The 12823-nt window shown below is 39.1% G+C and overlaps 1 long non-coding RNA gene across 7 annotated transcripts in view; it reads right to left on the bottom strand.

Moving 5' to 3' along the window:
* LOC105375716 (uncharacterized) overlaps positions 1 to 12823 on the bottom strand; it is a 436284-nt gene that overhangs the window by 317721 nt on the left and 105740 nt on the right. Inside the window, exon 5 of one of the 7 annotated variants that reach the window (XR_928571.2) lies at positions 7007 to 7104. The exons of the other annotated variants lie outside the window; for them this stretch is intronic. This is a non-coding gene — a long non-coding RNA (uncharacterized LOC105375716). The remainder of the gene's footprint in view (positions 1 to 7006; positions 7105 to 12823) is intronic. 7 annotated transcript variants of the gene reach the window in all.

Raw genomic sequence — 12823 nt, forward strand, 5'->3', positions numbered from 1 at the left:
TTTACAGAAGGCACTGAGACTTTGGATCAGAAACTTTCTAGGCAGCTAGACTCTTTTGGAAGCTAAGGTGAAGCATTCAGATGGCTGCTGAGCTAAGCTCTGCCCACCCACTTCAGTGTTAATATGTTCATTCCTATAAAATTTGTTTGATTTTCCTAAATAAAGAGTAGCAGTGGTTAAGAGATGGTGTCTGGAATCAGATAGCCTAGCTTTTTATTCCAACTCTAGGCTAGGCATACATGTATCATCTTGGATAATTTACTCAACATAGATGAGTCTTCTTCCTATTTATTCCAGAGACTTCTGTAAACTGCCTTGTATTGGCTTGACTTCACCTCTGACTCCAGCTCTAGTTATAGCAAATAGTACTTATGGCCTCTGCCTTACTGGCAGCTTCCTGCCTTAAGCAAGAACCACCTCTTCTTCATTTGCAGCCCCAGGTCTTATCTAGCACAGTGGCATGGTGACCTGAGAAAAGCATGCTCTGCCCTCATGTGCAGCCTCAAAGTGAGGGAAAGTTAATGTCCCCAGGGCATGTCTCAACCAATGAGTGGAGGAACCTGAGAATCCTAAACCACCAGATCCTCCTGAACACTCCAGGCTGGCAAAAGGACACCACTATCTCCTTATTCAAAGAAAAACTTCCAGTTGCCTAGACACCTTGAAAAGGCCTCACCTGAAGAATATGCCTTACAAAGTGATACTTTTTCTTCTCAAGATCCACCACCACTCACTCCTTTTTGCCAATACCAATAACTTGGGTCTCTTCTCAGCACAGTCTGAACAAGGATCCAGGAGGTACTGTCCTGGCAAAGAGATTCTGGAACCAGTCCTAACCTACTGCTGGGATGGTTCATTGAAGGCGGTACACAATAACAGTGCAGAGTAAATGAGGTGGAGATGCCAGAACTGTTTAGACAGAACAATGAAGGAGCCAAAAGGCTGAAGGAAGTGAAAACGTTAGAATGGATTTATTATGCGAGAGCAAACCCCACTAACTGCCTGTTCATTTGAAGGACCCATAGAAACTCCTTTACTAAGGCCATGAAGGCTCTGCTGAAGATGAACAGATTTGAGAAGCCCAGTGGAGGCTTCCATCTGTTGTTGTGATAGTAGAGTCCGCTACCTTGGCACTGGGCTGCTTTGTATTGGCGTGTTTATAAAATGATCCCAGAAGAACAAAGGCCCACGGGCAGCACTTAATTTTCAGAAGCAAAGTAGATGTGACTATCATAATGGAAAGAGCCAGGTAGAAATCAAGATGCCTTTACCTGAAGGGATCTATGGTAATGAATCATAGATTAGAATATTCCAGGGGACAAGATAGATGGACAGCCCACAAGAGTGCTATTCAATTTGAATTAACGTAAATCCCTCCCTTCCCTGACATGCCCAAAATTGAGAACTGTCCAATGTCAGCTAACACAATGAAAAACTAGTCCTTCACCAAATTTCCGGATCTAAATTAGTTTACAGACCCAGAGGTTATTGATCAAAGGGCAGGCTTGGTTTCCTTGAGGAAGGACTCTATAATATCATCATTTGTATATGTAAGAAATATCTCCCCAGATAAATTTTCCAGAGTAGCTGTGCAAGAGGAAAATAGAACATCTAGACCTTTCAAGGACAGTTGAATACAGGGTCTGAGCTGACACCATTCAGGGTCCCAAAATACCATCCAGGAGCTCCAGTGGAGTGGAGGCTCACAGAATCCAAGTAATAAACAGATTTCTGATACAAGTTCATTCCACAGTGAGTTCATTGAGTCCACAGACGTATTTCCCAATTCTCAAGTATATAATTGGGATAGATATACTAAACAGCTGGCAGATGTTGTTATTCCCTGACCTATGGAATATGAGTCAAAATTATAGGAAACTCCTAAGATTGCCTCCACCCTTGCCAAGATAATAAAGCATAGATCATAATGCATTCCAGAAGGAATTCTGGAGACAGCCCTACCACCAGACATGCAGGATACAGGGACGATAGTTCCTACATATTCTTATTCAATTCACTTGTATGGGACCAGAAATAATAAAACCTATTAGTTGTGGTAGAAGACAGTGGACTCTTATAAACGTCACCAAATATTATGATCACCCTCACAGCTCCTCTGCTGGATGTAAAATCCTTATGAAACAGATCAACAGAGGCTTTGGTACTGGTCTGAGGCTACCAACTTGGTGAATGTGTTCTCCAATTGTACCACGAAGGAGGATCAAAGGCAGTTTTCTCTTTTGTAGGAAGGACAACATTATACATTCACTTAATTTTTCCAGGGCTATATAAGTCTCCTGCTCTCAGACACAATGTAGTCAGCAGGAACCTTCATCACATTAGCATTCCTCAGAACATCATATTGGTCTACAATATTGATGATATCATGTTAATAAGATCTGGTGAAAAGGAAGTAGTAAGTACTCTAGATCTCTGGCAGGATAAATACATGTCAGAGGACTGGAGATAAACCACAGGAAAAATTAGCTGCTTACCATGTTAGTGATGCTTTTAGGAGTCCAGTGGTCTAAGATAGGCTGGGACATCCCCTCTAAGGATGAGCAGATTTTATATCTTGTACCTTTTACTATCAAGAAGGAGCCATGGCACTTAGTGTGTCATTGTGGATTTTGAAGGTAACATGCTGACTACATTTGGAAATAGTTCTCCTTTGGGTTTATCTGGAGACTGAAAAGACTGACAGTTTTGAATGAGGCCCAGAGCAAGAGAAAATCCTGCAGCAGGTCTTGTTTGTGGTATCAACTCTCCTGCAACCTGGGCCACATGACCTGGCAGAGTCAATGATGCCCTCTGATAGATAAGTATGCCATTTGGAATCTCTGGCAAACCTCAATAGAAGAGACACACAGATGCCTTCCATGGTAGAGAATGACTTACTATTTAAAAGACACCACCTGGAGTGCTGTTGGATCCTGGTAAAGACTGAGTACCTAACAACAGGCAACCTGGTAAGTGAAGCCATCAAACACGAGCTAGGTATTATCAGATTCTCCTAATCGCAACATCGGGTGGGTACAGCAGCAATCCACTAGACACTGGACAATAGAAATGATCTGTTCTGGATCAGGCCCAAGCAGGAGATATAAGTAAGTTAATGAAGGTGTGCCTCAACATATTAGTGATGCTTTTTCTGAAGCTCATGACTATGGCCCCACATGATGAGAGTTTTCCTACGACTACATGATGAAGGCAGAAAAAGCCTGAGAGCTGGTCCACAATATGTTGTTTTTTACCTCCTGCTATGCTGATTTGAGCTGAAAATGGACTGCTACATCAATACAGCCCCATCTAGACTTGGCACTAAAGGACAGTAGTGAGAGTGAATCCTCTACACTGGAAGTATGAGCAGTACACTGGATCATTCCCTTTGCAGGAATGGAGAAGTACCTCAAAATAACGACAGACACAGATCTTTGAGGACTCCTAAAAGGCATGGATGCTTGGTCATCGGCTAGGAAAGAGAAAGATTAGATCAGAGACAAGGGGAGCTGGGAAAGAAGTATGTAGATGTACCCATGGAAGTGGTCAAAATCCATGTTGATCTTTTTATCTAATGTTAATAATGTCCACCACAGACCATCCATTGCAGAGGCAGCACTTAACTGGGTGGACAAGATGATGCATCCACTGGTTGTCAGCAAGCCTCTACCCTTAGCCACTCTTGTGACTATGCAATAGAGCCATGAACTGAGTAGCCATGGTGACAGAGGTGAAGGCTATGCATGGGCTCTAAGTTTGGGGTCCCTCTGATCAAGGCTAGACTATCTTTTGATACTGTTCAATGTCCAAACTGCCAGCAAAAGACCAACACTATGTCCCTTTATATAGCACTAACGCCCAAAGAGATCTTCCATCACTTTGTAGCAACTTGATTACATCACACCTCTTTCATTTTAGAGGGGTTATCAGTTCACCCTTAAATAAACTGACACTTATTCCAGATATGTCTTAACCTTCCCTGCCTGCTGTATGTCTCTCAGGACCATCACCCAAGGGCTTTCTGCATGCCTGATTTATGGACATGGGATTCCGCTCAGCACTGTCCATTAAAGGGATGCATTTTACAGTATAGAAGTTATAATAGTGGACCACTGCCCATGAAATCTTACCATATCACTCAGAAGCAACCAGACCAATATAATGATGGGGGAAGACCTATTAAAGGCTCAGCTAAGCCATCTGCTTGGGGACAACACTTTGTCCTCAAGGAGGAGATAAATGCTTTAAACTGATGGCTGGTATATCTCTGCTCTTCACAACTGAAAATGGGATCACTGTTAACATTGCTTTCATATGTAGCCAAATATATTTGTTTTTATACCAGAAGAAAATGCCATGTTTGTTTTAGCTATTCATACTGAATCCCTAGTATCTAGAAGAATGTGTGGCAACTAGAAAACACTTAAAAAATACTGCTGATGCAATGTATACACAACATTTAGTATATTAAATGCTAATATACTATATGCTATAATACTAAATGCTATAATACATTTAGTATAATAAAAGGTTATTATCACAATTATGATTATTCATGCATTGTATGCCATAGATAAAGACATCTTTAGTCTGGTTGTCTCTGTTTTAACCATGATACCACCTAAAAAGCCTCCTTGTTCATATGTTTGTTCAAAGGAAATTAGCCTAGGAAAGACGGCTGCTGCTGCTCTTCCCAGCCTCTCACAGCTGCACTGATCAATATGGAACTGGGCTTGAGAAGGCCATTATGGGGCCTCCTACATTTCACCCTGCTTGTGGTCTCAAAACTTGGATTCACCAGTCAGCCTTTTCCTGGGCACCCTGTTGACATCCAAACTTGAGAGAATCCTCAATATGCATGAACACTGTAATTACACAGACTTAAACTTCTCCATTCTGAGATAATTACAGAAATGAACTATGTTTCTCAAGCAAATCAGACTGTACAGATACAGGGAAGGGTGTCTTGGTGGGCATAAGGGATCTCAGACTTATTCTGGCTACATGCCCAAAATTGGCAATACAACGAGCCCTTTGCCTTAGCAGAGAGAAACCTCCTGTTAGAATCCTTATGGGAAATGCGTACAAGCAATTCCTACCCTCAGAAACAGGAATCCTGCTGGCAGTTTGTTCTGTTTAAAAGAAAAACAGAAAAGAGAAAAAGAGCTGATGTGGCTTCATCAAGACCTATATCCTGGACTTCATAAAAATAAAAAAAAAGCAAATGAAACAATTCCTGATTTGTGCCCTGAAGGGGTTTTGCAGTTTTCTTATTCTATCTTGCACAGAAGTTCTGAGCTCAGAAAAAAAATAAGGAAAATAAATCTAATGAATAAAATATTGAAGGGGTTGCAATTCTTGAGAACCAAAAACAAAAGAAAAATCACTTCCTCAGCTGGTTTGGGTTTGAGGGACTGGGATTCAACTTACAAACATCTTTGAGTGATGCAGCTCATGACCCTCTTTCTTTCTACTCTAATCCCATAGTTTGTACTTAGAGATCAGTCCATTTGCAGCCTAGTCTGGAAAATCAGTGTTGTCATAGAAAAGGTGAGGTAAGATGCAAGTTGGGACACTAAGACATCTTTTGTAGAGAGGTGAGAAAACATTTCAGTAGCATCAGTGTCACCATAATGTAGGAGGACACGAGCGGGGGCATCTCGGACACAGAAACTCCAAAAAGCCTCAAGACCTGAGGTGATTCAGGCAATTGCCAGTGTCTATCTGAACTGTGGCACACAGGGATGAAGATCCCAGTGGTGAATGATATCTGGAAGAGGCAAAGAGCAATAGACACTAGGTTTGTCCATGTGGATTTCTCACAATTGGGTAGAAATATAGGGGAGCAGAATTCAGCTTTGGAACAGAAACCTTGTAAGAGCCAGGCATTCACGGCAATACCCTAAGCTTGACTTGGTGTCTAATCAGGGACATTAAGCAGAAACTATGAAGGTCAAAATAAAAACAAAGAAGTTCTTACCCTTGGCTGGGACCCATATATAAGTGGAAGGAAAAAGGCTGTTGTTTAGGGCTCCACAGATGCTCATTCCTGGTACATGGGGTCCTGAGCCAGGTTGGCATTAAGGTAGCTCAGAGGGCATGTGGCATCCCATCAATCATAGCTCAGACACTGGACTTGGGGTCTGAGACATGAGACTTAGTTCCAAGGGCCACTGGATGGGGGTAGAGAGGGTGAGGCTTCCAGCATACTTCTTGCTCTCATCAGGAGTGTCTCAGGATCTGAGATGAGCATTGATTCACAAATGGGGCCTGGCTGCTCTTGTTTATGGAGGGCATAGTATATACCAGGCATTAGATGATATAAATCTGTTATCTCACTTGTTTCCAGGAAATGCAATTGGGAAGCTGAAGAAGATTATAGTATTTCTGGCAGTCAAGATTTGGAAAGTTACCTACTAAGAAGCTACAATATGCTCAAGATACTACTATATCAGAATAATTTTTACCTAATTAAGAGAATGAAAATTTTATTTACTCAACCAAATAGTGAGTTAATATATAGGAAATATATGTTCTGTATCAAACAGAATAGAAAACAATGGCATTGAGATGTATACCAGTGCTCTCATAATGACTGACCTGTCATGTGTAATTGTGTGTTATTTTCTATATACACTCCATCTGAATGAGCAATAAAACTAGCTTGAGGAAGAATAGTTTCTTCTCTGATCATTGTATTTCTTCAGGATTTCTCATTGCTCTCAGACATGCTACTTGTGATTTTCAGTTAAACTTGACACATTAGCTTTGCTAATATTTTAAACTTACTAAATTTGTTCATGTCCTCTTTCCTGTGTGTCTTCCCTCACTTTTACCTTGTGTATTAAGTACCACAAAAGAATATTGTCTGAAACAAATGGCATGCAATCCTTGGAGGATAGATTTCCATGCTACTATAGAGTGAACGTCTTCCATAGTGAAAGGCTTATATTTAATATGTGAATTGTGCCAGAGGTGGTTCAGCCAGGTAAAATGCTGGTATTACCTTGAAAACATGGGCGTATCCATCTTCCACTGAGCTGTGTGTTCTGGTTTGGGCTTTTGTTGATATGGTTTTGATGCCAAAGCAGGAAAAGCTGTTTCCTGATAAAAAGCAGAAACCAGACTCCTTGGTGCCATTGTTCATTACTGCCTGATCAGACAGGGAGAGTATGATATAATCTGACAGCTGAGAAAGTTGTGCGCTCCTCACCCACTAAGCACATGTATCTTTTTGAAGAACCCTGCTGAAAGCTTGCACTCTGAGCCCTGAAGCCAGATTTTGCTAAAGTTCTGTGATTCCACCATGGTTCCCTGATGAAGTAAAATATATTGTGTATAGACTGCAAGCTAGGATTGTACTGCTGAAATTTGAGATCTAAATATAAGTAATCTAAACTACAAGTAGTCTACATTACTGTGCCTGTAAAAGTTTACCTTGTGACACCTGGATTTAATATATCCTGACAATAGGTGCAGTTTGTTCAGAGAACGACCTTCAACTTTATATAGAAGATAAATGCCTGATTGTAGGTTATCTACATGCGTTTTGGATGGAGAGAGCAGAGGCAGGAATGCCAATGCAAATGTTAAACATACCCTTTCTATTGTTTTATTAGGACTATACATTATTAAATGGGACCTTCTTTACTCTTAATGTTTCTATTAGAGTAACATTCTTGGCTTCCTCTGCATCCTCACTAATTTTTCCTAATGGGAGGAGGATTAAAGTATCTGAATAGCAAATTTAGGAACAAAAACTGGTCATGTTTGACTGAGTCCCTTCCCTTTGCCTTTCTTCTTTGGATCTATGTGATTTTAGGAAAATATACTCTACTTTGTTCTTGGTCATACAAAGAGCTTCACAGTAGCAACCTTGTCCTTTTGTTGTGGAAAATCAGTGGTTGACCAGTGCTACTTGACATTGAGTGAATAAGTCTGTATTAATGTGGCTACATATTAGGAAGCCCATTGTTTTCTCACAGGGCCTAAGCCTCAATTTCCAGTAATTCCATCAATAATGAAGTAGGAATCTTTATGTTTGTCTGCTTAAATTTTTGTCTTTCTCAGTGAAATCAGAACTCAGGCAAGAAACACGATAATATACTCTATTAGGTTGCCTAAAACCCCAATATATTCCATCAGTAATTTTCATGTTGTACAGGTTTGTTAATTTATGTCCTTTAGTTAACCTCTAAACAGCACCATAAAGATGATTTTAAAGGGTGACAATTACATTTCTAATGATGTAGTCCTCTTATAATCTCTCCCCTCATAATATCCCCTTATTTTTATCTAGCCATAAGGAATCTCTTATAGACACCTTTGAGATATGGTTGATGTATGATCAAGGAGTAACTCTAGGATTATAGAGAGTTTGGCCAAGGGAAAATTTTTAGAAAATAATCAAAGGGTGTTCCACTTCATTTCAAAGTAAAATTTAGACACATTTTTTTAAGCTGTGAGGTTTTATAAAATGAAAGGTAAAACTTCTAAAAAGCAATTAGATATTTTATTTCAGAAACCAGAAGCCTTGGGGCAGGGTTAGGGAGGGAAGCTGAAACATAAAGTAAGCATTCTGGAATGAAAATCCTCCCACATCTAATTTGACACGGCTTGGAAATACACACATTTGGCACTCAGTGTGTATGGACAAAAGCAGAATCAGACTTTCACCTAGGTTTGAGGTAGATAAAGCAGCAAAGATCAGTAATCCAAAAGTAGATCACCAAGTTTTCAGAGGCTTGATTTTTCTCAGCAGTATTCCTTGCCTCTTTCTTTAGAATAATCATAAGTTAGGTAACTAAAATGACATGTTTTGAAGGTCTATTTCAAAGAAAGCTTTCAGCTCTCCATTTATATGGATTTAAGACATGTCATTAACATTTATACTAAAATACATCCCATTAGGATAAAAATCACACAGCTTTTATGGGTAAACTTTTAATGAGGTTTTCTCAAATGCAATGTAGTGTTTTTAAAGAGTTTATAATTAAATTACTAGTCTCCCATGTTTGAGTCCAAATCATTTTCCAAAAGTAGTTTATCTTGATAAACATCCTTTAAAATATTTCCTGATGAAAAGTCTAACCTCCAGAATCTATAAAAAACTTAAACAATTAAACAAACACAAAATGAACAACCGCATTAAAAAATGGCCAAAGGACATGAAGAGACACTTCTCAAAAGAAGACATACAAGTAGCCAACAAACCAGAAAAAAAATGCTCTGCATCATTATCATCAGAGAAATGCAAAACCACAAAGTGATCATCTCATACTGGTCATAATGGCATTATTAAAAAGTCAAAAAACAATAGATGATAGCAAGGCTGTACAGAAAAGGGAAAGCTTATACACCATCGGTGGGAATGTAAATTAGTTCAGTCTCTGTGGAAAGTAGTTTAGAGATATCTCAAAGAATTTAAAACAGAACTACCATTTGACTGAAGAGTCCCATTACTGGATATATATCCAAAAGAAAACAAATCATTCTACCAAAAAGACACAGGCTATGTTCATTGCAGCACTATTCACAACAGCAAAGACATAGAATCAACCTAGGTTCTCATCAATAGTGGATTGGATGAAGAAAGTGTGGTACATATACATTATGGAATACTACACAGCCATAAAAAAGAATGAAATCATGTCCTTAACAGCAACATAGATGTAACTAGAGGCCATTATTTTAAGTGAATTAATGAAGAAACAGGAAACCAAATACTGCATGTTCTCACTTATAAGTGGGAGCTAAACATTGGGTACTCATGGACATAAAGATGGGAACAACAGAAACTGGGGACCCCTAGAGAGTGGAGAGAGGAAGAGGGAAAAGGGCTGTAAAATTACCTATGGTGTACTACACTCAGTACCCAGGTGACAGGATCATTCATAACCCAAACTTCAGTATCGCTCAATATACCCAGGTAGCATACCTGCACAAATACCCCCTGAATCTAAAATAAAAGTTGAGAAATAAATATTTCCTCAAGGTTAAACACAAATTTAAAATATTACCTTAATATCACATGTAATGTACAATATGTAATGTTAACAATATAATCAGTTCTCAAAGTGAAGAAAAGCTTTTGTGGATAAGAAAAAAATTTGTGATTCAGGATAGTATATCTCGCTTTTAAAACAGTGCATTTTAAAAATAAAACCTTTTTAATAAAGACATTCTTTTCATCTTCTAAAAGTTTTTAAAACATATTTTGTGTTATAAAAGGATACATGCCAAACTGTTCCCATTGTTACATCAGTGAGCTGAAACTGAAACAAAATGGGGGGGAGATTTTTAGAATTTTTCTTTTAGTTAAAAATGTATAGAATCAAATTTTTTCAAAAATTCACACACTGGATTGTGTTTATTCAAAGTTTCCTAAGAATTTAAGAATTTTTAAAGTGTTTTTATTGTAGGCTGGATAAAAGAAATCAGTGTTAATACCTATATTGTCATTTCACACCTCTAACTAACACAGGTACACAATCTCTTACCTGAAATTCTTGGGCAATTGTATTTCACAGAATTTGGAAATTTGGGGCTTTTTGACTAGTATATTAGTCCATTTTCACACTGCTATAAAGATACTACCTGAGACTGGGTAATTTATAAACAAAAAAGCTTTAATTGACTCACAGTTACACATGGCTTGAGAGGCCTCAGGAAACTTACAATCATGGCAGAAGGGAAAGGGGAAGCAAGGCACATCTTACGTGGCATCAGGAGAGAGAGAGCCAGTGAAGGAGAAAGTGCCAGACTTTTAAACATCTCTCTTGAGAACTCACTTGCTATCATGAGAACCGCATTGGAGAAACCACCCCCAAAATCTAATTACCTTCCTCCAAGTCCCTCTCTCAACACATGGGGATTACAATTAGAGATAAGATTTGGGTGGGGACACAGAGCAAAACTATATCAACTAGGAATACGGTACATGGACTGAATGATATAAAACTATTCCATCAGAGCCTAGAATAAAACCCTATAATTAAACACATTCAAATTTCTACAGTAAAACATATAAAATTCATAATGCTTGCAATTAAGACAACAATAACATTCATACTATGTGTGATACATAAAAGGTCTAAATAACCTCAGGTGAGGTTTTGTCACCAAATGAGTTACAAAACAACTTTGGGTTTTCCATAGTTTGGGGATTTCAAAATTATAAAGAAGAGATTATTGTCTTGTAATAGTAATAAGTATTAACAATAATTATGCCAAGCAGTTATATATATTATTTCATTTCATCCTCTCAGCAACTCTCTTAGGATACAGCTATCATAGTTTTGACTTAAATATAAAGAAACAGAGATATGCTAGCTATTAAGGATGGAACCAGGATTTGAATTCAGGCATTCTGTATCCAGAGCCCATGGTTGTAACTACTGTACTTTACCATCTTCCTTTCTAAAGGAAGTGTTGGCCTCAACAAAGAAAGAATCTGACCCCACATATCATTGGTGTTGCCATTATGAATGGTCAAAGCCAGTGGCTGTGACCTTGAACAATAACTACATCACATTTTTTCCCAAGACAAAGTCTCCTACCAACTCTGCCTTCCTCTCCCCTGTGCCTAGTGCAAAGCTTGGCATCCAGTACACCCTGACTACTGTTGATGGCCTGACTGATGCTTTCTTTGGGGCCCTCACACAGAGGTGAGGCCATGACAGGAAGAAGAAAGTACAGAGTCCATTTATGCTCCATTGCAGAATTGCTTCCTTCTCTCTCACCCACCTGTGTAGTTTAAAATCCCATCATGGATGGAAGATGTGTTTGAGCCTGTGCCTCTTCAGGCTCTAGATCAAGAGATAAGAATTGTGTTTATTTATCTATACATGAATAGTCTAAATAATGAGTGTCTATTTACTGTGATCTTCAAAATGAAAACACATCAATGTATAAGCATGTAAAATCCACATGTTGCCTAGAAATTAACACTACTGAGGATCATTTTGTCTCCTAAAGCAAGATATATATATCTATTCAACCTCCTTTACAAAGGAAGATAATTCATATGGAAAGCTGAGAGGGGCCTCTTTAAAGAGTTCAAAGGCCCATTCTAAAGGTATAGAAACAAGCAGTTTGATCCTTTTTGCTAAGACTCTTTGTAACTCACAAATAGTCCTTCTTCCAATTTCTATACTCTATAAATCCCCTTTATGTACCACTTTCATATTAACCCCCACAAAATAACACTTTTGATCATGTCATCTTCTAGAAAACCTTTAGCTGTTTCTTATTTGTTAATATATTACATGATCCCCATCCAAAAACAATGTCTCCCATAAGACATTCCAAATTCTCCTGTCTTCTCTCCCATTAGGTCCCTACTCTATATTCCAGACAAGCAATGTATTGCTCCCTCTGTTGGCCTCATATGTAACACCTTGCTTGCTTTCTGGCTGGCATAGTCCTAGCGAAGGTTTGCACTTTCCCCTAGGTCATGGAGGCAGGTCACTGTCACTACTACTACCACTACAGACTGAAGAGCCCTGCTTATGGCACTGGCTGGCAAAGAGAGATAGGCATGCATGCTCCCTGGCCAGACTGAAGGCATGGAGGCTCTTACTTTCCCAGCAACGACTCAAGAGGCTGGGGTGACACAACTCAGAAGTGCAGGGGAGTTAATGTCCAAGGAATGAATTGGTCAGTAGAACAAAAGTGAAAGGCATTGAGTAGATTTATCTCCCTTCTTCATCCTTCCCTACCATGTAAACTGTTCTGAGACATGGAAATTCATAGATGCTCCAGGAAAATGCCACACCAGATGCAGGAGCCAGCTGTCCTTGTTACGCAACTTGGGCCAGCCTGG

Source organism: Homo sapiens, chromosome 8 (genome assembly GCF_000001405.40).
Source record: "Homo sapiens chromosome 8, GRCh38.p14 Primary Assembly".
Classification (NCBI taxonomy): domain Eukaryota; kingdom Metazoa; phylum Chordata; class Mammalia; order Primates; family Hominidae; genus Homo; species Homo sapiens.